The sequence below is a fragment of the Homo sapiens genome, chromosome 1 (genome assembly GCF_000001405.40).
Source record: "Homo sapiens chromosome 1, GRCh38.p14 Primary Assembly".
NCBI lineage: Eukaryota > Metazoa > Chordata > Mammalia > Primates > Hominidae > Homo > Homo sapiens.
Window position 1 is genome coordinate 248,502,566 of NC_000001.11, and position 27,042 is coordinate 248,529,607.

Consider the following 27,042-nt stretch of genomic DNA (forward strand, 5'->3'; position numbering starts at 1 on the left):
ACTTGAGAAGCATCTATACTCTGCTATTTCAGTATTCTCCACATATATATTAGGTCATTTGGTTTATAGTGCTGTTCTAGTCACTTACTACTATATTAACATTCTGTCTAAGTGCACTATGCATTATTGAAAATGGACATTTAAGTATTGAACTATAAGTACAGAACTGTTTATTTCTTCCTTTAATTCTGTCCACCTTGGCTTCATATATTTTGGGTCTCTGTTACATTCATTCATGTTTACAATTTTTATATCTAAAGATCTATATTACATTCTCCAAGGAAGATACACAAATGATCCCAAACAGTATACGATTTTTTTTTTACTTATAAAAATTTTTGTCATAAACTCACTTTGTCTCACATTAACATAGCCACTCTGGCTATCTTTCGGTTACCAACTGCACGAAGTATCTGTTTATCTTCATGTATAGTATATGATAAAATGTTATATTCACAGATAAAACAATTTAAAGTATAAAATTATGATTCAATATGCTTTTTAATTTCCTTGAACACTTTCTTTTCTTCTAAATCTATTTTCTTTATTCCTTTATAGTTTATTATTTTCATATGCTTAATAAATTCAGGAATGACAAAGTTGAAATACAACCAACTACATAGAAGTACAAAAAACCCTAAGGGACTATTATGAACACCTCTCTGCAGACAAACTAGAAAACCTAGAAGAAATATATAAATCCCTCGAAACAAGGAATTTATCTATTTCTCCACCCAAGATTATTTAACCTCCTGACATTAAGCCAGGAAGAAATTGAAATCCTGAACAGACCAATAATGGGTTCTGAAATTAAGTCAGTGATTAAAAAAAACCTACCAACCAAAACAAGCCCTGGACCAGACGGATTAACAACCAACTCCTACCAGACATATAAATAAGAGTTGGTACAAAATCTTCTGAAATTATTTTAAAAATTGAGAAGGGAATACTCTCTAAGTCATTCTGTGAAGCCAGCATCATTCTGATACCAAAATTAGGCACAAATACGACAAAAAAAAGTAAAGTTCGGGCCAACATTCCTGAGGAATATAGACACACAATCCTCCACGAAATACCAGCAAACCAAATCCAGCAGCACATCAAAAAGTGAATTCACCACGATCAAGTAGGCTTTATTTCTGGGATGCAAGGTTGGTTCAACAAGTGCAAATCAGTAAATGTGATTCACCACATAAACATAATTAAATACAAAAATCACATGATCATCTCAATAGAAGCAAAATGATTTTTCATAACATTCAGCATCCTTTCTTCTTAAAAACCCTCAATATACTGGGCACCAAATGAACTTATCTCAAAAAAATAAGAGCCATCTATGACACACCCACAGCCACCATCATACTAAACAAGTAAAATCTGGAAGCATTCCTCTTGAGAACTGGAACAATTTGAACAATTCAGTTTTCAATTTCTCATCAAAAATTGTGTTGACATGATTGATTGAAGTATTTTATCCCCCTTTCTCCCAAATACCAGGCCACAGACAGCATGAAATATTTTAAATAAACATTAAAATAAATAAGTCCAGATTGGTCATTAAATCGAGTATTTTTTTTTTATTGTATAAACTCAAGATGTACAACATGTTTTGATGTAGATATCTATAGTGAAATAATTACCACATGCTAGCAAATTAACACATCCATCACTGTCTGCAGTTTACTTTTTTGTGATAAAAACACATATAATCTAGTTATTCTCTTAGCAAATTTGTAATGTATAATAAAATAGAACTATAGTCCTTCTGTTGTACATTAGATCTCTAAATATCTTTATGTTACATAACTGTAATTTTGTCTTCTTTTACCTACATTATCCCAATTTGTCTACTTCCCTGACTCTGGCAACTGCCCTTCAACTCCCTATTTATCTTACTCAATTTCCATTTATTTTACACATAAATGAGCTCATGCTGCATTTTTCTTTCTGTGCCTGACTTGTTTCACTTGGCATATTGTACTCCATACTTTAAAATTTATTAAGCTTAAAGAATTAAACAAGTAAGCTCTAGTTGCCTAAGAAGTTAATGTACCCAGAAATATAAATTTCTCAACAATCATGGAAAATGTGTTACAACTATATCTTCTTTCAAGTAGGTCTTGTAAATATTTTCTGTATTAATACTGACTATGCTCTCGTTTGGTTGTCATTCTATTCTGAGTTTTTAACCCTCTTGTTTAACCCAATCTCTCCTCCTCAAAAATGAATAAATGCATTGACTCAAGAAACATTTATTTTTGAGCGTCTGTTTTGGAATAGGTGCTATATTTTAGGCATTGGAAAGACACTAGTGATAAAAATGGTAAAATGCTTTATCTCCTGGATCTTACATTCTATGGTAGAGAAGAGATAATAATCGCAAAAAAACTATCAGGAATGATAAACATTATAAAGAAGAGTAAAATAGGGTGTGTAGGAGATAATTACTGTTTTATATTCACTGCTCAGAGATGTCTTCTCTGATAATCAAGAGAGCAGAGAAGAGAGACCTAAATCAGTTGAAGAAATGGGTCACAACGTATCGGAAAAGAGACCACCAGGCAGAGAGAATAGTAATCTTTTTTTCTTTATTCAGTGTATTAAATGCATTGTGTTTATTGATATACCCCATTAGTTTAATCATATTCCCTCACACTTTGTTATTACCTTTATTTTAATTGCCATTTTTAAATTTTTGTGATGAACAAATAAAATTGTATATATTTATCATGTACAATGTGATATTTTAAAATATGTATATTGTGTGGAATGGGTAAATTGAGGTAATTAACATATGCATCACCTCACATACTTATAATTCTTTGCAGTAAGAAGACAAAATCAACTCTTTGCCTTTATTTCAAAATTATTTCATTGTGTGGTATTTAATATTTTCTATTTAACAAAATGTGTATATTATGTACAAATACCTATGCATAAAACATATTTTATAAGACTAAAATATCCTTAATTTCCCTCTCTTTACACAGTATCTACTAGTTTCCTAGCATAAGGAAGAACAGAAAATATTTCAGAAGATATGTCTATTCTCCTTTCCTTCATCATTCAATTGTAGCCAATATGTTTACACTAGTGCTTATCACTATTTCTTTACACTTGCTTTTATATTTTCTCCATCATCTTTATTATTTTACAATCACTCACAAGCCACGGAGCAGCCATTCAGCTTCGTCCCCATCACTCCCTTTAAATTCTCTCCTGACTCAGGGTGATTCCCATTTCACATCTTTCTGTTGGCCGATTGTCGTCTCTTTTTAGTGGGTCATCAGTTCTCTGAACCGTCATATTTCTGTTTTAAAATGTTTTCTCATTTATAAAACTGCTTTATTAAGGATTTGGGGTTGTAGAGTATTTGAAGTTTATATCAGTATTTAGCTCCGATTTAAGGCAATAATTTTGGGGTAGATTTATTTTTTTTCTATAGTATTTTTGGAAAGACGTTGCATTTTCTAATTTCATTTTTAAGAATTTGATTTGCCTTTCCAGTTGTTACCAGGTGGATTGCATAGGGCTTGCAGGCATTGGGGAATATTCTTGTTTCTCAAGCCCTACAGCTTCATTGTATGCATTCCTGCTGTCTTCTCCATGTTCATTTCTACCACCTTCCTATTCGTGGTTATGCCTGGGATGGTGACCCCCTTAGTTTAGGCAAGATTGTCCTGTTATCTCCACCACTTCTTTCCCAGGTATACTCCCTGCATCTATCTCTTCAATAATCCTCAGATTGCTACCTGGCTCCGTGTTCATCAGGCTTGGGTATAGCAGTTTACACTTGTGAGAGGACCCTCTCCTTCTTGGGGAATAATATTTCCTGGTATTTTTTATCATTACCACCACCAGTGACCTTGACTGGGTCTCTTCTCTGCCGGACTTCCTGCTTCCAATATGGAGTTTCTGTACCAATTCTGATGAGTGTCCGTGACTTTCTTCCCCTTCCTTACATGTAATTTATAGTTGATGGATTGCCTTTGTCTCCTGATTTCAGTGAAGGAATCATTTGTGCTTTTTTCATTTTTTTTGTCTTGGATGTTTATTATATCATTGGAGAATTAAAGTAGGATAAAAAGATTGGAAGACTATCTAAAAGTTTGTATCAGCAACTAGGACTCCCTTATGTATGTTTGAACAGTTTTGTTCTGTTTGCTTTTGTGAGAAATGAGATGAATTGATGTGCAAAGTGTTATTAGTTAGGGTGCCTCAATATAGGCCCAGGAAACATTGGAACACCAAAATGGATGGAGCAGACATGAGCAGAACACAAAAAAGAAATAAACAGCAATATGATAATAGTAGGGGATTATAATACCCCACTCTCAACACTCATAAACAACAAATGGACCCAAAAATAAAGACAATTTAAAAATATCCTGAGACAAACAAAAATGGACAAATAACATACCAAATCATGGGGTACAGCAAAAGTAGTTCTGATAGCTACTGAGACAGAGAGAGAAATGATCCCAAATAAGCAACCTAACTTGGCACTCTGGGAATTAGAAAAGAAGAAAAAAGCCAAAAGTTAGAAGAAAGAAGAAAGTTATAAAGGTTAGAGCAGAATTAAACAGATAAGAAAGACAAAAGAAAAGATCAGTAACACGAGGAGTTGGTTCTGTAAAAACGTGAGGAAAATTGGCAAACCTTTAGGTAGACAAACCAAGAAAACTAAGAGAGATGACTCAAATAAAACTATAAGTAAAGCAGGAGAAATTAGTCAATACTACCAAAATACAAAGGGTCATAAGAGATTATCATGACCAATTATGTCAATAAATTGAGTAACGTAGAAGAAATGGATAAATTCTTAGACATGTATGTCCTGAAGAAAGAATAAACCTGAACAAATTAATAACTAGTACAGAGATTAAATCACCAATAATAATAATAATAAACTTAAAAGTTCAGGACTTGATGCTTTTACTGGTGATTGCTACCAAATATCTAAAGACAGATTAATGCTATTCTCAAACTTTTCCAAACAATTAAAAAGGGTGCACTTTCCAACACATTTTTTCATGCATTACCCTAACACCAATGTCAGACAAGGACGGTATAAGAAAATTACAGGCCAATTTATTTTATGATCATGGATGTAAAGATTCTCAACACTAGCAAACTGAATTCAATATGTTCAAAAGATCATTTAGTTGAATGTTTTCTTTCTTCTGAAATTCTTCATTTTGCTTCCAAATGTCATTTTTCCTTATATTTTATTTTTTCATTAATCAAATTTAATTTTAAAATTTCCAACTAAAAAAATCTGTGGGTTTAATAAACATATTTTTAATTAACATTTAAAAAAAGCACAAGTTTGTAAATTGTATATTTTCTGTCCATTAGATTTTGGTTTGAGTATTGGGCCAATTGCACGGTAAGCTTTTTAATTTTTTTCCAGAAGTAATCCCAGGACCTTAAATCTCCACTGAAACTCTCGAAGTTTAATTGGTCAGCTGGGATTGTAGTCCCTGGGGTGTTGAAAGCATAAATAAGCCATACCTTAAGTCTGGACCATTTATCCCTGTAGGGAGTCCCTCTTCTCCTCTGTTCTCTTTCAGAACTACTTATTACTTTAGGTTCAGTGTATGTAGCATATGGTGACTCTATGGGTTTCAGTTTTCTGAACCCCAAATATGCAAAAATATAGAAAAAGCAGACCAGGCATCCCACCTTCTGTGTGCCACTAAGGGAGCATCTCTTCCTCTTTCTCCCCTAATAAGTTGTATATTATTTTCTCAGTATTTTAATTTTTTGCTATTTATATTATCTGAGATTTATCATTGGAATCATACAAATATTAAACCAGGAAAGATCACCCAGGAAGAAATTGAGATCACCCACAATATCAGGTATTCTAAAACATGTTATATGAAAATTGTAATAATTAAAACATGAATCACAAATCTTGCAGGTAGAAATGTCAACATATTAATTTTTTTGAGGAAGAGCAACTTGGATGAATATATGGATGTAAACTTGCTGATCAACTACAGCCAAAAATTACATTGTAATTGTAACGTGTCCCTAAACTTGACCCATTACCAATCCTGATAAGTCTGTGCTTAGGATTATGTAGATTTTCAAAGGATTGAAATGTAGTTGCCTTTTCCAAATCTTGACTAGCTTGTCTGACAAGGTAGGATCATGTCAAGTAGATTGGACTGAGGTGATCCCTTTATTTTAAAGAGCAGTCTTTGGCAAACACTGATACTAGAAACTGATATGATTTTGCTCTTGTTGAAGAATTTTACTTATTATAAATGTTTTTTAAAAACAAGGGAAGGAAACATAATCTTAAAACCACTCATTTGTGTCCATCCACATTATACTGTAGAGAAGACTGACTTTTTTTTCCAGGTGATTATTGTAGCAAAACATTTTAAGTTTTATTGAGATCGTTTGTCATGTCTAAATTTGTTCATCATAATATATCCTGAGCTTAGTTCAGTGCCTGGCTCATGATAAATTTTATTTATTTAGTGTGGTGAGAGCACTTAACAGGAAATTTACCCTCTTACACTTTTTCAGTGCACGATTCAGTACTGTGAACTCCAGGCACGGTGCTGCACAGCCAATCTCTAGGACTTCATCTTGTGTCACTGAAACCTTATACCCATTGCACAGTAGATCAAGAGAAGAAATACTTGATACACGGCACAAGACCTATAGAACACGCAGGGAAAACTTCTTCTGGCATCAGAAAACCTGTTCATTGCTGAGTTCATTCATTATATTCACCTCCTTACACCACAATGCTAACCCATGAATCTAACTGGCTGTGACAAAACTGTCTTTCATAAACCTACAGACTTTAAGATTTATGGAAAGAGAAAGACCTGTGGCATCCTAGAATTCTAACATCCACTCTTGGATCATCATGACCACTTAGCAGAGCTTTGCATTGAATTCCAGATAAAGAATATCAAACTCAAGGATATAGCAGCTCTTGAATAATGGGAAAGATAAATGAAGTGTTTGGCAAGTAGAAAGATAATCATGAAGTTCAGTCATTAAAGTCTCGCCCTGAACAAATGCCATGGACTTGACATCATAAAAAACATAAAATAGGTATAAGTCAAAAATGTTTATTTTGGGAAATTATATTTAAATCAAAATCAAAAATATACTCATCTGAAAGACAACAGAAAGTTCTGTCACCAAGGGAAATAAAACTCTAATTACCAAAACAAAATGTAAACAAAATAAAACTTACATAAATATATACATTCATGCATTCAAAAGAAGTTGCATAGAATTTTATTTAGCCATATCTCAGTATTTTGGAATTTTGCAAACACCAAGAGTCGCAATAATAATACATAATCTTCGTCTCTCACTCTGTTATTTTTTCCTCAAGCTTGGGAAAGATAATGTGTGAGTGGATAGAGTGATTCTGGGGATCGGGATGAGACAATTCTGCTTAAGGCAACTTCTCTTAGGATGGCAGGAGGTAGCAAGAGAAGAAAGGGCAGAATAACCATTACAGTTTACACCATATTTATAGCTATAATGCCTTAATATAATATGAAGTAATTACTTTCAATTACTTTTTAATAACAGAGATATATACAATATATATTCTTTAAAATGGTTATCTAAAAGTTTAAGAAATTAAAAAACCTTAATCTTAGAAATTATCTAGAAATTTAAATTTCTGAATTATAGGTAAATGTGTTATGATTTTCTTTTTTCAAATAAGCCTTACAAATATTTTCAATATTGATACTGTTTCATTTTAAATGTGCCACTAACATGATGCTGTCATTTCATTGTCATTCTAGCAGTAAGGATTCTGAGTCCTTAGCACTCTGTTTGACCCAGCCTCTCCTTCCAGGAAATGACTAAATATACTCATTCAGAGCATATTTATTTTTGAGCATCTACTTTGGGGCTACCACTGTGTTAGGCTTTCAGCACACAGCAGTGATAAAAATGAGCAAAATGTCTCATCTTATTAATATGACACTATATTGTGGAAAAGAGAAACAATTGTAAAAAATATGTTCAAGATTGTTAATTTTATGAAGAAAAATAAGACAGCATAAGGGACAGATCAGTCATTTTTATTCATTGGTCATTGAAATCTTTTCTGATAATCGAATAGCACAGAAGAGACCTAAAAGAACTGAAATAATGGGTTCTAGTGTATCTGGGGAAAACGACTCAAGGTAAAGGGAACCATCATCTTTTTCAGATGGCACTCAGAGCCATAAGAGGTTCAGATAGATCCACCCAGCAGTGAGTGCAGTGGGTTTTTCTAGGCAGAAAACACAGAAGAAACATCAAGAAATCACATGATTGGCTTGCCATGTCCAAGTCCTTTTCTAATTTTGTTTTTCTTTTTAAAGCATATTTTTTGCCTGCTACCATGACTTGTAATTTTTGATGATGTTGTTGAAAGCTGATGTATTCATTTGCTATGCGTACCATAGCATTCTGGTAGTTTGATGACAACCTTTGGCATTCCTTGGCTTGAAGTAGCATTACTTCAATCTATTCCTTTATCTTCAAAAGATAATATTCCTGGGTGCATGTCCAACTTTTTTTAAATAAGGACACCAGTTTCAAAGGTAAAGCCCAGACACTGGTTAAGGTAGTGAGGACAGATTTTAATTAGTAACATATTTTGGGGTATTTGTGGGTTTTTCACCTAAAATGTAATCTTACACAGGCTGTAGATTATATCTCTGTTTCCAGGAAGCCCCGTGTGTTGCTTTGTGTGTGCATCAGTCTCTCGAGAACCCCCTGTGAATCAGGAGGCATACGTTCCAGTGACTATAGGGAGTCGAGGGGCTAAAGAGGTAAGTGAAACATCTGGTAGGGGTAAAAGGATGGGTATATATCAAAAGTCAGGGGTGTTTAATGGAAAAGAGGTGCATATCAAAGTGTCAGGGGAGTTCAATGGAAAAAGTTAAGATGGTAAAAGAAAGAAGGAAAAAAGAAGGAAATGGGAAGGGAGCAGTCCTATAAGAGCCACTTTAGGCAGATCTTAAGATTTTCAAATAAACCATTGCAGTTCCGAATTATCCACAGTAAAGTCATTTTGCCTAAAATAGAAGCAGACATGGTTAGTGTCATAGTATATATAGAGAGTAGGAACCCAAAAGGGGTTTAACTGTGGAGTTCCTGTGGGAAGAGTAAGTTCAAATAGAATGAAGAGGTCTCACAAGAAGCCAGAGTGAACATTCCAGCACAGGAGTTAGGAAGTGAATTCCCACTGAAAACAGGGAGCCAGGAAGATAAACAGCCAGCCCAGGAGATGTCTTTCAAAAGCAGCCTGGAATTATAACCCAGCCTTAGAGACTACAGCCAGAAACATAGGAAGAAAATATGTCCTCGCCATGCCTCAGTGCAAATTTCTACACAGTGTTAGGCCAGAAGTTGAACTCGCCACCAAATACCCAAAAAAGTAAGTCAACTGAAGATCAGACAAAGGTTTCTACGCATGCAGAAAGGATTGACTGTTTTGTCCAAGGGCCAGATAAGGGTTCCAATCTGGATTTGAGTTCCAGTGCCAGATAACTGTCAAGACAAACAAAATGGAAAACTGGTTAAAGAGGTAAGAACGTGCTTTAACTAGTCATATACTATTGAAACAGGCAAGAGTTCAGCATGAACTTAACTTTGATGTATCCAGGTTGAGGAAAATGTTAAAGGGAGTTTGAGGAAAGAGAAATGGGAGTTAGTGGGGGCTCAGGAGGGTCAGGGATGTGAGAAATTACAAATCGTGAGAAGGGGGGAGTTGGTTCCTGTGAAACCCATTTGCTTTGTTAACTGATACTTGCTGATGTTGGGCTTCTACCCTCCCACAGAGGTCAGGAGACACCAGGCCTATCTTCAAGTCTTGGCTGGGACAAGCATGCTATAGATTGTCTGTGTACTTACATAAGTTATATGTTGAAATCTTAAACCCCAATGTGATGATATTGGGAGAGGAAGTCTTTGGGGGTTGATTAGATCATGAGTGATGAACTCATGAATGGCCTTAGTGACCTCATAAAAGAGACTCCAGAGAGCTTTCTTGCCTCTTCTGCCATGTGAGGGCACAGCAAGAAGACCATGCTCTATAAATCAGAAAATGGGTCCTTACAGACCAAACTGGCTGGCACCTTTATTGTGGACTTTCCAATCTGTGGAAATGTGAGAAATAAGTGTTGTGTAAGGCCATGGTATTTTTGTTATAGGAACCATGAAGACAGGCAGGTTTCAGTTTTCTCAGACAGTTCACTTTAAGGGAGACTGGGTCGTTCGTTCTAGAGATGTAGACTTGAACTGTTACCAACTATGTTCCTGTCTTTTTCAAGTTTTTATAGACCAAAGTTAAGGCTGAATTGAGAAGGCTCAGAAGACCCTGGCTAGAGTTTCGTCAAGTTTAAAATGATCGTCAACTCTGTATACATCAAAATTGAGTTCAGTGCGTGCTGGACTGTTTTCTCTGTTTCAATAGTATATGACTCATTAAAATATGTTGTTACTACTTTTTCTTCAATCATATTGGATTAGGGACACTTTCTACTAGAGTATGTTCTCATCTTCAATTAACTAATTACATCTGCAATGGTCCTATTTCCAAATAAGGGTACATTCTGAGATAGTTGGGGGTATGACTTCAATATATGAGTCTGTGGGGATACAATTCTTACCATAATTTACATGATGTGTTAGGTAAAGATAAACAGGCGTTTAGTGTGAAGTTTATGTTTATGTGTTAGGCTATGTTTATCGCTAGTTTTACCTCTGATGTCAGAGGCCATAATTTGCTCTAGTGTTCTTATTTTTGTGTCCTCTGTTATCTTTGGCTTTTCTACAGATTCATTGTTAAACAGGATTTGAGGCTTGTCATCCTTCCATGTGCATCCTCTGTTATCATACATGAGATATTTTAATGTGTTTGTCAGTGTGGAAGGGAGAGAAATCATTCTATAGTCCTACAAATTGGTCTGAATCTATTTGCCAGCATGTGTTCTTGGACTGCAACCTTCAAAGAGCTTCTTAACATCCCCTGCCCACCCCCACATAGGTGTGACACAGGTTAGAAGGACCTGGAGTTGGGTATTTTCCTTCTAGCATATTGGTTAGCCTGTGGTAAAACCCCAGTAATACGGCAGCCTCTGTTAAATAGTTTATTTTTTTTAATTATACTTTAAGTTCTAGGGTACATGTACACAACGTGCAGGTTTGTTACATATGTATACATGTGCCATGTTGGTGTGCTACACCCATTAACTCGTCATTTACATTAGGTATATGTCCTAATGCTATCCCTCCCTCCTCCCCCCACCCCACAACAGGCCCTGGTGTGTGATGTCCCCCTTCCTGTGTCCAGGTGTTCTTATTGTTCAATTCCCACCTATAAGTGAGAACATGCGATGTTTGGTTTTTTGTTTTGCAATAGTTTGCTGAGAATGATGGTTTCCAGCTTCATCCATCTCCCTACAAAGGACAAGAACTCATCATTTTTTAAGGCTGCAGAGTATTCCATGGTGTATATGTGCCACATTTTCTTTTGTGTGTGTGTTTTTTTTTTTGTTTTGTTTAAGTTTTTCTTTTATTATTATACTTTAAGTTTTAGGGTACATGTGCACATTGTGCAGATTAGTTACATACGTATACATGTGCCATGCTGGTGCGCTGCACCCACTAACTCGTCATCTAGCATTAGGTATATCTCCCAATGCTATCCCTCCCCCCACCCCACAACAGTCCCCAGAGTGTGATGTTCCCCTTCCTGTGTCCATGTGATCTCATTGTTCAATTCCCACCTATGAGTGAGATTATGCGGTGTTTGGTTTTTTGTTCTTGCGATAGTTTACTGAGAATGATGATTTCCAATTTCATCCATGTCCCTACAAAGGACATGAACTCATCCTTTTTTATGGCTGCATAGTATTCCATGGTGTATATGTGCCACATTTTCTTAATCCAGTCTATCATTGTTGGACATTTGGGTTGGTTCCAAGTCTTTGCTATTGTGAATAATGCCGCAATAAACATACGTGTGCATGGGTCTTATAGCAGCATGATTTATAGTCCTTTGGGTATATACCCAGTAATGGGATGGCTGAGTCAAATGGTATTTCTAGTTCTAGATCCCTGAGGAATCGCCACACTGACTTCCACAATGGTTGAACTAGTTTACAGTCCCACCAACAGTGTAAAAATGTTTCTATTTCTCCACATCCTCTCCAGCACCTGTTGTTTCCTGACTTTTTAATGTTTGCCATTCTAACTGGTGTGAGATGGTATCTCATTGTGGTTTTGATTTGCATTTCTCTGATGGCCGGTGATGATGAGCATTTTTCATGTGTTTTTTGGCTGCATAAATATCTTCTTTTGAGAAGTGTCTGTTCATATCCTTCACCCACTTTTTGATGGGGTTGTTTTTTTCTTGTAAATTTGTTTGAGTTCATTGTAGATTCTGGATATTAGCCCTTTGTCAGATGAGTAGGTTGCGAAAATTTCCTCCCATTTTGTAGGTTGCCTGTTCAGTCTGATGGTAGTTTCTTTTGCTGTGCAGAAGCTCTTTAGTTTAATTAGATCCCATTTGTCAATTTTGGCTTTTGCTGCCATTGCTTTTGGTGTTTTAGACATGAAGTCCTTGCCCATGCCTATGTCCTGAATGGTACTGCCTAGGTTTTCTTCTAGGGCTTTTATGGTTTTAGGTCTAACGTTTAAGTCTTTAATCCATCTTGAATTGATTTTTGTATAAGGTGTAAGGAAGGGATCCAGTTTCAGCTTTCTACATATTGCTAGCCAATTTTCCCAGCACCATTTATTAAATAGGGAATCCTTTCCCCATTGCTTTTCTCAGGTTTGTCAAAGATCAGATAGTTGTAGATATGCGGCGTTATTTCTGAGGGCTCTGTTCTGTTCCATTGATCTATATTTCTGTTTTGGTACCAGTACCATGCTGTTTTGGTTACTGTAGCCTTGTAGTATAGTTTGAATTCAGGTAGTGTGATGCCTCGAGGTTTGTTCTTTTGGCTTAGGATTGACTTGGTGATGTGGGCTCTTTTTTGGTTCCATATGAACTTTAAAGTAGTTTTTTCCAATTCTGTGAAGAAAGGCATTGGTAGCTTGATGGGGATGGCATTGAATCTGTAAATTACCTTGGGCAGTATGGCCATTTTCATGATATTGATTCTTCCTACCCATGAGCATAGAATGTTCTTCCATTTGTTTGTATCCTCTTTTATTTCCTTGAGCAGTGGTTTGTAGTTCTCCTTGAAGATGTCCTTCACATCCCTTGTAAGTTGGATTCCTAGGTATTTTATTCTCTTTGAAGCAATTGTGAATGGGAGTTCACTCATGATTTGGCTCTCTGTCTATTGTTGGTGTATAAGAATGCTTATGATTTTTGTACACTGATTTTGTATCCTGAGATTTTGCTGAAGTTGCTTATCAGCTTAAGGAGATTTTGGGCTGAGACAATGGGGTTTTCTAGATATACAATCATGTCATCTGCAAACAGGGACAATTTGACTTCCTCTTTTCCTAATTGAATACCCTTTATTTCCTTCTCCTGCCTAATTGCCCTGGCCAGAACTTCCAACACTATGTTGAATAGGAGTGGTGAGAGAGGGCATCCTGTCTTGTGCCAGTTTTCAAAGGGAATGCTTCCAGTTTATGCCCATTCAGTATGATATTGGCTGTGGCTTTGTCATAGATAGCTCTTATGATTTTGAAATACATCCCATCAATACCTAATTTATTGAGAGTTTTTAGCATGAAGGGTTGTTGAATTTTGTCAAAGGCCTTTTCTGCATCTATTGAGATAATCATGTGGTTTTTGTCTTTGGCTCTGTTTATATGCTGGATTACATTGATTGATTTGCTTATATTGAACCAGCCTTGCATCCCAGGGATGAAGCCCACTCGATCATGGTGGATAAGCTTTTTGATGTGCTGCTGGATTCGGTTTGCCAGTATTTTATTGAGGATTTTTGCATCAATGTTCATCAAGGATATTGGTCTAAAATTCTCTTTTTTGGTTGTGTCTCTGCCCAGCTTTGGTATCAGGATGATGCTGGCCTCATAAAATGAGTTAGGGAGGATTCCTTCTTTTTCTATTGATTGGAATAGTTTCAGAAGGAATGGTACCAGTTCCTCCTTGTACCTCTGGCAGAATTCGGCTGTGAATCCGTCTGGTCCTGGACTCTTTTTGGTTGGTAAGCTATTGATTATTGCCACAATTTCAAATCCTGTTATTGGTCTATTCAGAGATTCAACTTCTTCCTGGTTTAGTCTTGGGAGAGTGTATGTGTCGAGGAATTTATCCATTTCTTCTAGATTTTCTAGTTTATTTGCGTAGAGGTGTTTGTAGTATTCTCTGATGGTAGTTTGTATTTCTGTGGGATAGGTGGTGATATCCCCTTTATCATTTTTTATTGCTTCTATTTGATTCTTCTCTCTTTTTTTATTAGTCTTGCTAGCGGTCTATTTTGTTGATCCTTTCAAAAAACCAGCTCCTGGATTCATTAATTTTTTGATGGGTTTTTTGTGTGTCTATTTCCTTCAGTTCTGCTCTGATTTTAGTTATTTCTTGCCTTCTGCTAGCTTTTGAATGTGTTTGCTCTTGCTTTTCTACTTCTTTTAATTGTGATGTTAGGGTGTCAATTTTGGATCTTTCCTGCTTTCTCTTGTGGGCATTTAGTGCTATAAATTTCCCTCTACACACTGCTTTGAATGTGTCCCAGAGATTCTGGTATGTTGTGTCTTTGTTCTCATTGGTTTCAAAGAACATCTTTATTTCTGCCTTCATTTTGTTATATACCCAGTAGTCATTCAGGAGCAGGTTGTTCAGTTTCCATGTAGTTGAGTGGTTTTGAGTGAGATTCTTAATCCTTAGTTCTAGTTTGATTGCACTGTGGTCTGAGAGATAGTTTGTTATAATTTCTGTTCTTTTACATTTGCTGAGGAGAGCTTTACTTCCAAGTATGTGGTCAATTTTGGAATAGGTGTGGTGTGGTGCTGAAAAAAATGTATATTCTGTTGATTTGGGATGGAGAGTTCTGTAGATGTCTATTAGGTCTGCTTGGTGCAGAGCTGAGTTCAATTCCTGGGTATCCTTGTTGACTTTCTGTCTTGTTGATCTGTCTAATGTTGACAGTGGGGTGTTAAAGTCTCCCATTATTAATGTGTGGGAGTCTAAGTCTCTTTGTAGGTCACTCAGGACTTGCTTTATGAATCTGAGTGCTCCTCTGTTGGGTGCATATATATTTAGGATAGTTGGCTCTTCTTGTTGAATTGATCCCTTTACCATTATGTAATGGCCTTCTTTGTCTCTTTTGATCTTTGTTGGTTTAAAGTCTGTTTTATCAGACTAGGATTGCAACCCCTGCCTTTTTTTGTTTTCCATTTGCTTGGTATATTTTCCTCCATCCTTTTATTTTGAGCCTATGTGTGTCTCTGCACGTGAGATGGGTTTCCTGAATACAGCACACTGATGGGTCTTGACTGTTTATCCAATTTGCCAGTCTGTGTCTTTTAATTGGAACATTTAGTCCATTTACATTTAAAGTTAATATTGTTATGTGTGAATCTGATCCTGTCATTATGATGTCAGCTGGTTATTTTGCTCGTTAGTTGATGCAGTTTCTTCCTAGTCTCAATGGTCTTTACATTTTGGCATGATTTTGCAGCGGCTGGTACCGGTTGTTCCTTTCCATGTTTAGTGCTTCCTTCAGGAGCTCTTTTAGGGCAGGCCTGGTGGTGACAAAATCTCTCAGCATTTGCTTGTCTGTAAAGTATTTTATTTCTCCTTCATTTAGGAAGCTTAGTTTGGCTGGATATGAAATTCTGGGTTGAAAATTCTTTTCTTTAGAATGTTGAATATTGGCCCCCACTCTCTTCTGGCTTGTAGGGTTTCTGCCAAGAGATCCGCTGTTAGTCTGATGGGCTTCCCTTTGAGGGTAACCTGACCTTTCTCTCTGGCTGCCCTTAACATTTTTTCCTTCATTTCAACTTTGGTGAATCTGACAATTATGTTTCTTGGAGTTGCTCTTCTCGAGGAGTATCTTTGTGGCATTCTCTGTATTTCCTGAACCTGAATTTTGGCCTGCCTTGCTAGATTGGGGAAGTTCTCCTGGATAATATCCTGCAGAGTGTTTTCCAACTTGGTTCCATTCTCACCATCACTTTCAGGTACACCAATCAGATGTAGATTTGGTCTTTTCACATAGTCCCATATTTCTTGGAGGCTTTGCTCTTTTTATTCTTTTTTCTCTAAACTTCCCTTCTCACTTCATTTGATTCATTTCATCTTCCATCACTGATAGCCTTTCTCCAGTTGATTGCATTGCCTCCTGAGGCTTCTGCATTCTTCATGTAGTTCTCAAGCCTTGGTTTTCAGCTCCATCAGCTCCTTTAAGCATTTCTCTGTATTGGTTATTCTAGTTATACATTCTTCTAAATTTTTTTCAAAGTTTTCAACTTCTTTGCCTTTAGTTTGAATGTCCTCCCGTAGCTCAGAGTAATTTGATCGTCTGAAGCCTTCTTCTCTCAGCTCGTCAAAGTCATTCTCCATCCAGCTTTGTTCCGTTGCTGGTGAGGAACTGCGTTCCTTTGGAAGAGGAGAGGCGCTCTGCTTTTTAGAGTTTCCAGTTTTTCTGTTCTGTTTTTTCCCATCTTTGTGGTTTTATCTACTTTTGGTCTTCGATGATGGTGATGTACAGAAGGGTTTTTGGTTTTCTCCCATTCTATAGCTTGCCTGTTCACTATGATGATAGTTTCCTTTGCTGCACAGAAGCTCTTTAATTAGATCCCATTTGTCAACTTTGGCTTTTGTTGCCATTGCTTTTGGTGTTTTAGTCATGAAGTCTTTACCCACGTCTATGTCCTGAATGGTATTGCCTAGGTTTTCTTCTAGGGTTTTTATTGTTTTAGGTCTAACATTTAAGTCTTTAATCTATCTTGAGTTAATTTTTTATAAGATGTAAGGAAGAAGTCCAGTTTCAGTTTTCTGCATATGGCTAGCCAGTTTTCCCAGCACCATTTATTAAACAGGGAATTTTTTTTCCCATTGCTTGTTTTTGTCAGTTTTGTCAAAGATCAGATGGTTGTAGATGTGCGGTGTTATTTCCGAGGCCTCTGTTCTGTTCCATTGGTCTATATATCTGTTTTGGTACCACTACCATGCTGTTTTGGTTACTGTAGCCTTGTAGTATAGTTCGAAGTCAGGTAGTGTGATGCCTCCAGCTTTGTCCTTTTTGCTTAGGATTGTCTTGGCTATATGGCCTTTTTTTGGTTCCATATGAAATTTAAAGTAGTTTTTTCTAATTCTGTGAAGAAGGTCAAGCTAGCTTGATGGGGATAGCATTGAATCTATAACTTACTTTGGGCAGTGTGGCATATATATCCAAAGGATTATAAATCATTCTATAAAGTCACATGGACACATGTTTATTGTGGCACTATTCACAACAGCAAAGACTTGGAATCAACCTAAATGCCCATCAATGATAGACTGGATAAAGAAAGTGTGGCACATATACACCATGGAATACTATGCAGCCATAGAAAAGGATGCATTCATGTCCTTTGCAGGGACATGGATGAAGGTGGAAACCATCATTTTCAGCAAACTAACACAAGAACAGAAAAGCAAACATCGCATGTTCTCATTCATAAATGGGAGTTGAACAATAAGAACACATGGACACAGGGAGGGGAACATCACACACCAGGGCCTGTTGGTGGGTTGGGGGGCTAGGAAGGAGGGATAGCATTAGGAGAAATACCTAACATAGATGACAATTTGATGGCTGCAGGAAACCACCATGGCATGTGTATACTTATGTAACGTGCACGTTCTGCACATGTACCCTAGAACTTATAGTTTAAAAAAAAGTTTGCTTTGGCTTTCGATGTAATTCTACTTAGACAACTCTTATACATATAGAGTAACATGTACACACATTTCATTTTACAAATTCTCCCTTTTATTTTGACTTGGCATTTGACAATATCACTTTGATAGTAGCTTGTGAATATTAGTCAAGATTTGTATAGAGGTCGGGCACAGTGACTCATGCCTGTAACCCCAGCACTTTGGGAGGCTGAGTCAGGTGGATCACTTGAGGTCAGTTGTTCAAGAGCACCCTAGCCAACATGGTGAAACACCATTTGTACTAAAATTACAAAAATTAGGCCAGGCACAGTGGCTCACGCCTATAATCCCAGCACTTTGGGAGGCTGAGGTAGTTAGGTCACCTGAGGTCAGGAGTTCCAGACCAGCCTGGCCAACATGGTGAAACCCCCATCTCTACTAAAAAAAAATATATATATATATAAAAATATATATATATACACACAAAAATTAGCGGGCATGGGGCCTGTGCCTGTAATCCCAGCTACTTGGGAGGCTAAGGCAGGAGAATTGCTTGAACGTGGGAGGTGGTTTGCAGTGAGCAGAGATTGTGCCACTGCACTCCACCCTGGGAGACAGAGTGAGATTCCATCTAAAAAAAAAAAAAAAAAAAAAAAAATACAACAATTAGCTGGGAGTGGTGGCACACGCCTGTAGTCTCAGCTACTCTTGAGGCTGAGGCAAGAGAATTACTTGAACCCAGGAAGCAGAGGTTGAAGGGAACAGAGATCACGGCACTGTACTCTAGTCCAGGCGACAGAACGACTCCATCTCAAAAAATATATATATTTGTATACATATAACAAAATATTTGCATCAAAAGGACATTGGGTCAGTTGCTTTACCTGCATAAATACATCATTTGAACATATAAATATATCGGTGTAAAAATGGGCAAAGTACAAGAATAAGCAAAGAGTGAATAAATACAAATATCAAATAAAACAAATGTTAATACAATACTTTTGTTGTTTGAGTAAAACTTTATTCAATAAAAATAGAAGGAAGTGGCATTTCCCGCCCATGGATTTATGTTGAGGAAAGTTCTATAGGTCTTCACAACATGTTTTAGGTGATATATAAGGAAGATAATTATACTGTAAACGACTGTGGATTACCATTCTTGACCTCATTACTTTCTATCCCCAAATATTAATCACTTAGTATTTGAAGCTGAAGAGTCCTGAAGCTGCAGGAAAAATGGAGGAAACCAACAACAGCTCTGAAAAGGGATTTCTTCTCCTGGGATTTTCAGATCAGCCTCAGCTAGAGAGGTTTCTTTTTGCCATCATTTTGTACTTCTACGTCTTGAGCCTTCTGGGGAACACTGCCCTCATACTAGTATGTTGTCTGGACTCCAGACTCCACACTCCAATGTACTTCTTCCTCAGCAACCTCTCGTGTGTGGACATCTGCTTTACCACCAGTGTTGCCCCACAGTTGCTGGTTACCATGAATAAGAAAGACAAAACCATGAGCTACGGTGGCTGTGTGGCCCAGCTCTATGTGGCCATGGGGTTGGGCTCGTCTGAGTGTATTCTCTTGGCCGTCATGGCTTATGACCGCTATGCTGCTGTCTGCCGGCCACTGCGCTACATAGCCATTATGCACCCCAGGTTCTGTGCGTCTCTGGCCGGTGGAGCATGGCTCAGCGGCCTCATCACCTCCCTAATTCAGTGCTCCCTCACTGTGCAGCTGCCCCTCTGTGGTCATCGCACACTGGATCATATTTTCTGTGAGGTGCCAGTGCTCATCAAACTGGCCTGTGTGGATACGACTTTCAACGAGGCAGAACTCTTTGTGGCCAGTGTAGTCTTTCTAATTGTCCCGGTGTTACTCATCTTAGTCTCCTATGGCTTTATCACTCAAGCTGTGTTAAGGATAAAATCAGCTGCGGGCCGCCAAAAGGCCTTTGGGACCTGTTCGTCTCACCTGGTTGTGGTCATCATTTTCTATGGGACCATCATATTCATGTACCTTCAACCGGCCAATAGGAGATCCAAAAACCAGGGAAAGTTTGTTTCTCTTTTCTATACCATAGTCACCCCACTTTTAAACCCCATTATCTACACTCTGAGAAACAAAGATGTGAAAGGGGCCTTGAGGACCCTGATACTGGGTAGTGCTGCTGGACAAAGCCACAAGGACTAGGAAACACCTGGAATTCTAAACAAGGGAAACACCTCAAGGCAGAGTGAGGGTTCATCCTCCCCAGACATTCCTCTTGTCAATCCCAAAGCCACAGGGACTAGGAAGCATTGGAATTCTAAAGAAGGGAAACACCTCAAGGCAGCGTGAGGATTCATCCTCCCCAGACATTCCTCTTGTCAATCCCAAAGCCACAGGGACTAGGAAGCATTGGAATTCTAAAGAAGAGAAACACACCAAAGCAGCATGAGGGTTCATCCTCCCAGACATTCCTCTTGTCAATCCAAGACCCTGTGTTCTATCTGGAAAAAAATGTTTGTCCTTCATCCACCTGCCATCAAGGTTCATGTATCCATTATTTCCTTCTAATGTGCCAGCCCATCTGATAGACTTCTACTAATGCTTCAAAACTCAGCTGAAATGTCACCTGCACTCACTAGCTGTCCTGAAACACCATCCTTCTCATCCTTGTGCAGAATTAACTGTTTCATAATATGTTTCCATAGCACTTGATCCACACTACCATTTCTACATTTCACATTTGAGATATATGTATACATATATCTCTAACTAGGCAAAGCAATGTATATAACAGACTGAAAAAATACATGACCATTTTCCCAGAATATGTCACTTTTAACTGGAGAATGGAACCATCCCACTCTATTGGCTTATTTACAACACGAGAAACACAAATATTAAGAGTTGTGATGCTTTGGTTCCACAGAATTGTGGGATGCAAATAATGACTAATATTTTATTAAAGGAATCAAATAAGCAAACTTGAATTAAGGAGATTGATTAAAAGTTGAGTAAAATTGCCATATACTAAAATGTGTTTTAACATTTATACAAAATTCATAAAATAAGTTATTGTTTTTGGCCTTAAACTCTGGAAAACAGTTACTTATGTAATTTTATACTTCAAAAATTTGAAATATGAATCCCACACACTGTCTCACGTTAACGATCATAGTTATATGTTTGGTTTCCAAAACAGCAAAAAAAATGAAATATTTAGAAGCATTTTAATAAATGTATTCTTATATTTGACCAAACTTTTACTTTCTGATTTAATTCTGTCTCTATCTCTCTGTGTATCTTTGTGTGTCTCAGCCTCTTTCTTGCTTTCTTTTCCCAAAACGATTGAACTTCATCAATTCGTCAACCTCAAGTATTTTAAGAGAACTGTGCAATTATAGAAAAAAGTGATTTAATCTGTGGTTGTAATTTTACTTCATATTCTCATTATGATACACATGAAAAAAGCATGAAAACATCAATGCAAATGAAGAGTAAAATGCAGGCAGAATCTGGGGTGGAAGTGGAATTTTCAAGTGATTTAGACTTTTCTTTTTTGGACAGGGTCTTGCTCTGTTGCCCAGGCTGGAGTGCAGTGGCTCAATCATGGCTCACTGCAGCCTTGACCTCCTGGGTTTAAGTGATCCCTCTGCCTCAGCCTTCCAACATTCAGATTTATAATAATTCATCCTGGTGTGAGAATATTGTAGCCTGTCTACGAATGTTAAGGATAACGTTTGGACCTGCCTCTCCTACCAAAGCCTGGACTGAAGGCAAAATGGCTGCGCACACAAGAACAAAAAGGCATCAGGAGAATTCACTAATGACTCAGGCTGCCTCTTCACAAATACCCTGTCCAGCTGGCACCTCTTCAATATACTTTTAGCAAACAAAATGATGAATATCCAATTTAACAAAAACGAGGGAAAAGAAGCCTGGTTAAATTTGTCTTCTAGGATATTCTTATGTGATTTTCCTCCTCCAGTAATGGAGAGGAGAGTTGGGAACTGAGCAGAACATGCTGAGGAGCACATGTTTTTATTTACAATATGCAAGTAGAGAAGTAGTTCTACAGGAAGCGTCACATGTACAAATGCATTATTCCTGATAACCCGAGCAACACAGCATAGGAAAGAATGTACCTGTGTCAGAGTCTCAATCAATTTACATGGAATATGGCCCCAGGGCAAAAGATGTGGCATTTAAAGGAAAGAAATAGCTCCAGGTGAAAAGACAACCATGTGTAAAGCAATGATATGAACACAATATGTAGAAAAACCTACATATGAATTGTGAAGCAACCATTTTCAAAGACAAACTCACATCCATTTAAGGTAATATGGAATACAAATCCCACTGAAAATAAAATCAAATTATTACTGTATACAATAAATTCAAACATAATTCAGAAAAAAATAGAATATCTGCTTATTGCTGAAATTAGCATCTTTAGCTGTAAGTTATTTGCACCCAAAAGGAAACCAGAAAATAATAGATATAACATAGGCAAAGCAACCTAAAAAAACTACTTAACTGCAGATGAAAATGGGAACACATTTGAAAATAAAATCCTGTTACTACTTTCTTGAATTTAGAGCTTTCCTATGATATGGATATGTTTATACTGCTTTTATAATCATCATACATGTATAATTTCATACTATTTTTATTTATAATGTGAGCATTTTTCTGATTAATCTAAAAAATATCCACCATTTATTAAAAATCTTCCCTATAATTGAATAACATGAGTAGTTTCTCTTTTTTAAATACCTACATTGAGCATACTTTTGTTTGTGAATGCTTATAATTATGTACTTATAATGTATTTTATAAATACAATTAGTAAATCTAAAACAGGTACACATCAGTCAATTTGCACACATTACTAGCTTGATCTGCAGAACACGTTTTCAAAGGATGCGCCAAGAAAAAAACTATCACTTAGTTAAATGACCATTCAGTATTGCAATTATTTAAAAACTATACAATGAGAATGCTGTAATAAGTATATGGTTCCACCACTCCAAACACCATGAATTTTTTTTAAAAGATATTTTTAAGAAAAAATAAAATGATTTTACATAACAAATATTAATGAATTCATGAAAAACAAAAACCATATAGGACCACAGCTCAGAGAAGAAAAATGGGAGGCACTTACTATTTAAACCCTAACCCAAATGGTCAGTAAAAAGACAAGTACCAGCTACTACAAAAAAACACCAAAATATAAAGACCAATGATACTGTGAAGAAACTGCATTACCTAATGTGCAAAATAACCAGCTAGCATCACGATGACAAGATCAAATTCACACATAAAAATATTAATCTTAGGCAGGGCACAGTGGCTCACACTTGTAATCATAGCACTTTGGGAGGCTGAGTCAGGTGGATCATGAGGTCAGGAGTTCAAGCTCAGCCTGGCCAGCATGGTGAAACCCCATGTCTCCTAAAAAAAATACAAAAAATTAGCCAGGCACAGTGGTGCATGCCTATAATCCCAGTTACTCAGGAGGCTGAGGCAGGAGAATTGCTTGAACCTAGGAGGCAGAGGTTGCAGTGAGCCAAGATCGTGCCACTGTACTCCAGCCTGGGCAACAGAGCAAGACTCCATCTCAAAAAAAAAAGAAAAAAATGTATATGTTATCACTTTGGTCTCATTTGAGTATGAATGATCAGACAGGGAAAATAAAAGTACCAAGAAAAATAAACAAGGGTCTTATAATAAAAGCAACACAGAATGGCCAAAGCTATCCTGAGCAAAAAGAGGAAAAAAGCTGGAGCCATCACATTACTAGACTTCAAAATATACTACCAAGTTATAGTTACCAAAACAGCCTGGTATTGGCATAAAAACAGACACATGGGCCAATAGAACAGAATGGAGAACCTAGAAATAGATTCATGTATTTACAGCCAACTGATTTTTGACAAAGGTGCCAAGAACATACACTGGGGAAAGGAGAGTTTCTTCAATAAATGTCCTGGAACAGTAATCAGCAGCTGGGGCTGGTACCATAGGGATACTTAAAGTTGAATTTATCAATTGCTGGAAGCTCATGTGAACTAACTTGACAAATAAAAAAAATGTTGAGCCCCAGTCTTAGGAAATCCTCCCTATACTCATGATTTTTACCTTCAGGAGTCTCAACAGCTTCTCACTGTGCAAAGTAGAGAGAAATTCCCTTTTGCTTTGGCAGAGAGAGGAGAAAATAAACATTTGAAATATGCCCAGAGCTCTCTGTTCACCATAACCTGATCTCAGTAGTAACTATTTAATGATTGCCATTCTAACTGGTGTGAGATGATATCTCATTGTGGTTTTGATTTGCATTTCTCTGATGGCCAGTGATAATGAGCATTTTTTCATGTGGCTGTGGGCTGCATAAATATCTTTTGAGAAGTGTCTGTTCATATCTTTCGCCCACTTTTTGATGGGTTTTTTTTTTCTTGTAAATTTGTTTGAGTTCTTTGTAGATTCTGGATATTATCCCTTTGTCAGATGAGTAGACTGCAAAAATTTTCTCCCATTCTCTAGGTTGCCTGTACACTCTGATGGTAGTTTCTTTTGCTGTGCAGAAGCTCTTTAGTTTAATTAGATCCCATTTGTCAATTTTGGCTTTTGTTGCCATTGCTTTTGGTGTTTTAGACATGAAGTCCTTATCCATGCCTATGTCCTGAATGGAATTGCCTAGGTTTTCTTCTAGGGTTTTTATGGTTTTAGGTCTAACATTTACGTCTTTAATCCATCTTGAATTAATTTTTGTATAAGGTGTAAGGAAGGGATCCAGTTTCAGCTTTCTACATATGGCTAGTCAGTTTTCCCAGCACCATTTGTTAAATAGGGAATCCTTTCCCTATTTCTTGTTTTGTCAGGTTTGTCAAAGATCAGATAGTTGAAGATGTGTGGTATTATTTCGGAGGGTTCTGTTCTGTTCCATTGGTCTATCTCTCTGTTTTGGTACCAGTGCCATGCTATTTTGGTTACTGTAGCCTTGTAGTATAGTTTAAAGTTAGGTAGCATGATGCCTCCAGCTTTGTTCTTTTGGCTTAGGATTGACTTGGCGATGCAGGCTCTTTTTTGGTTCCATATGAACTTTAGTTTTTTCCAATTCTGTGAAGAAAGTCATTGGTAGCTTGATGGGGATGGCATTGAATCTATAAATTACCTTGGGCAGTATGGCCATTTTCATGGTATTTCTTCTTCCTATCCATGAGCATGGAATGTTCTTCCATTTGTTTGTATCCTCTTTTATTTCATTGAGCAAACAGGTGCTGGAGAGGATGTGGAGAAATAGGAACACTTTTACACTGTTGGTGGGACTGTAAACTGGTTCAACCATTGTGGAAAACAGTGTGGTGATTCCTCAGGTATCTAGAACTAGAAATACCATTTGACCCAGCCATCCCATTACTGGGTATATACCCAAAGGATTATAAATCATGCTGCTATAAAGACACATGCACATGTATGTTTATTGCAGCAGTATTCACAATAGCAAAGACCTGGAACCAACCCAAATGTCCAACAATGATAAAGTGGATTAAGAAAATGTGGCGAAGATGGCCGAATAGGAACAGCTCCGGTCTACAGCTCCCAGCGTGAGCGACGCAGAAGACAGGTGATTTCTGCTTTTCCATCTGAGGTACCGGGTTCGTCTCACTAGGGAGTGCCAGACAGTGGGTGCAGGTCAGTGGGTGCGCGCACCATGTGCAAGCCAAAGCAGGGCGAGGCACTGCCTCACTCGGGAAGCGCAAGGGGTCAGGGAGTTCCCTTTCCTAGTCAAAGAAAGGGGTGACGGAGGGCACGTGGAAAATTGGGTCACTCCCACCCAAATACTGCACTTTTCCGACGTGCTTAAAAAACAGCGCACCACGAGATTATATCCCGCACCTGGCTCGGAGGGTCGTACTCCCACGGAGTCGGAGTCTCGCTGATTGCTAGCACAGCAGTCTGAGATCAAACTGCAAGGCGGCAGCAAGGCTGGGGGAGGGGCACCCGCCATTGCCCAGGCTTGCTTAGGTAAACAAAGCAGCCAGGAAGCTCGAACTGGGTGGAGCCCACCACAGCTCAAGGAGGCCTGCCTGCCTCTGTAGGCTCCACCTCTGAGGGCAGGGCACAGACAAAGACAGCAGTAACCTCTGCAGACTTAAATGTCCCTGTCTGACAGCTTTGAAGAGAGCACTGGTTCTCCCAGCACGCAGCTGGAGATCTGAGAACGGGCAGACTGCCTCCTCAAGTGGGTCCCTGACCCCTGACCCCTGAGCAGCCTAACTGGGAGGCACCCCCCAGCAGGGGCAGACTGACACCTCACACGGCAGGGTACTCCAACAGACCTGCAGCTGAGGGTCCTGTCTGTTAGAAGGAAAACTGACAAACAGAAAGGACATCCACACCAAAAACCCTTCTGTACATCACCATCATCGAAGACCAAAAGTAGATAAAACCACAAAGATGGGAAAAAACAGAACAGAAAAACTGGAAACTCTAAAAAGCAGAGCGCCTCTCCTCTTCCAAAGGAACGCAGTTCCTCACCAGCAACGGAACAAAGCTGGATGGAGAATGACTTTGACGAGCTGAGAGAAGAAGGCTTCAGACGATCAAATTACTCTGAGCTACGGGAGGACATTCAAACTAAAGGCAAAGAAGTTGAAAACTTTGAAAAAAATTTAGAAGAATGTATAACTAGAATAACCAATACAGAGAAATGCTTAAAGGAGCTGATGGAGCTGAAAACCAAGGCTTGAGAACTACATGAAGAATGCAGAAGCCTCAGGAGGCAATGCAATCAACTGGAGAAAGGCTATCAGTGATGGAAGATGAAATGAATCAAATGAAGTGAGAAGGGAAGTTTAGAGAAAAAAGAATAAAAAGAGCAAAGCCTCCAAGAAATATGGGACTATGTGAAAAGACCAAATCTACATCTGATTGGTGTACCTGAAAGTGATGGTGAGAATGGAACCAAGTTGGAAAACACTCTGCAGGATATTATCCAGGAGAACTTCCCCAATCTAGCAAGGCAGGCCAAAATTCAGGTTCAGGAAATACAGAGAATGCCACAAAGATACTCCTCGAGAAGAGCAACTCCAAGAAACATAATTGTCAGATTCACCAAAGTTGAAATGAAGGAAAAAATGTTAAGGGCAGCCAGAGAGAAAGGTCAGGTTACCCTCAAAGGGAAGCCCATCAGACTAACAGCGGATCTC

The 27,042-nt window shown here is 37.8% G+C and overlaps 1 protein-coding gene and 1 long non-coding RNA gene across 3 annotated transcripts in view; one reads left to right on the forward strand and one right to left on the reverse strand.

Annotated features, from left to right (window-relative positions):
* LOC105373277 (uncharacterized) overlaps positions 1–27,042 on the reverse strand; it is a 52,164-nt gene that overhangs the window by 17,945 nt on the left and 7,177 nt on the right. Inside the window, exon 1 of one of the 2 annotated variants that reach the window (XR_001738575.2) lies at positions 9,901–9,960. The exons of the other annotated variant lie outside the window; for it this stretch is intronic. This is a non-coding gene — a long non-coding RNA (uncharacterized LOC105373277). Of the gene's footprint in view, positions 1–9,900; positions 9,961–27,042 lie in introns of those variants that run through there. 2 annotated transcript variants of the gene reach the window in all.
* Positions 5,508–24,772, forward strand: OR2G6 (olfactory receptor family 2 subfamily G member 6). Its single transcript, NM_001013355.2, has 2 exons — positions 5,508–5,864; positions 19,046–24,772. The coding sequence occupies exon 2, from the start codon at positions 19,082–19,084 to the stop codon at positions 20,030–20,032; it is 951 nt and encodes a 316-aa protein (NP_001013373.1). The 5' UTR covers positions 5,508–5,864; positions 19,046–19,081; the 3' UTR covers positions 20,033–24,772.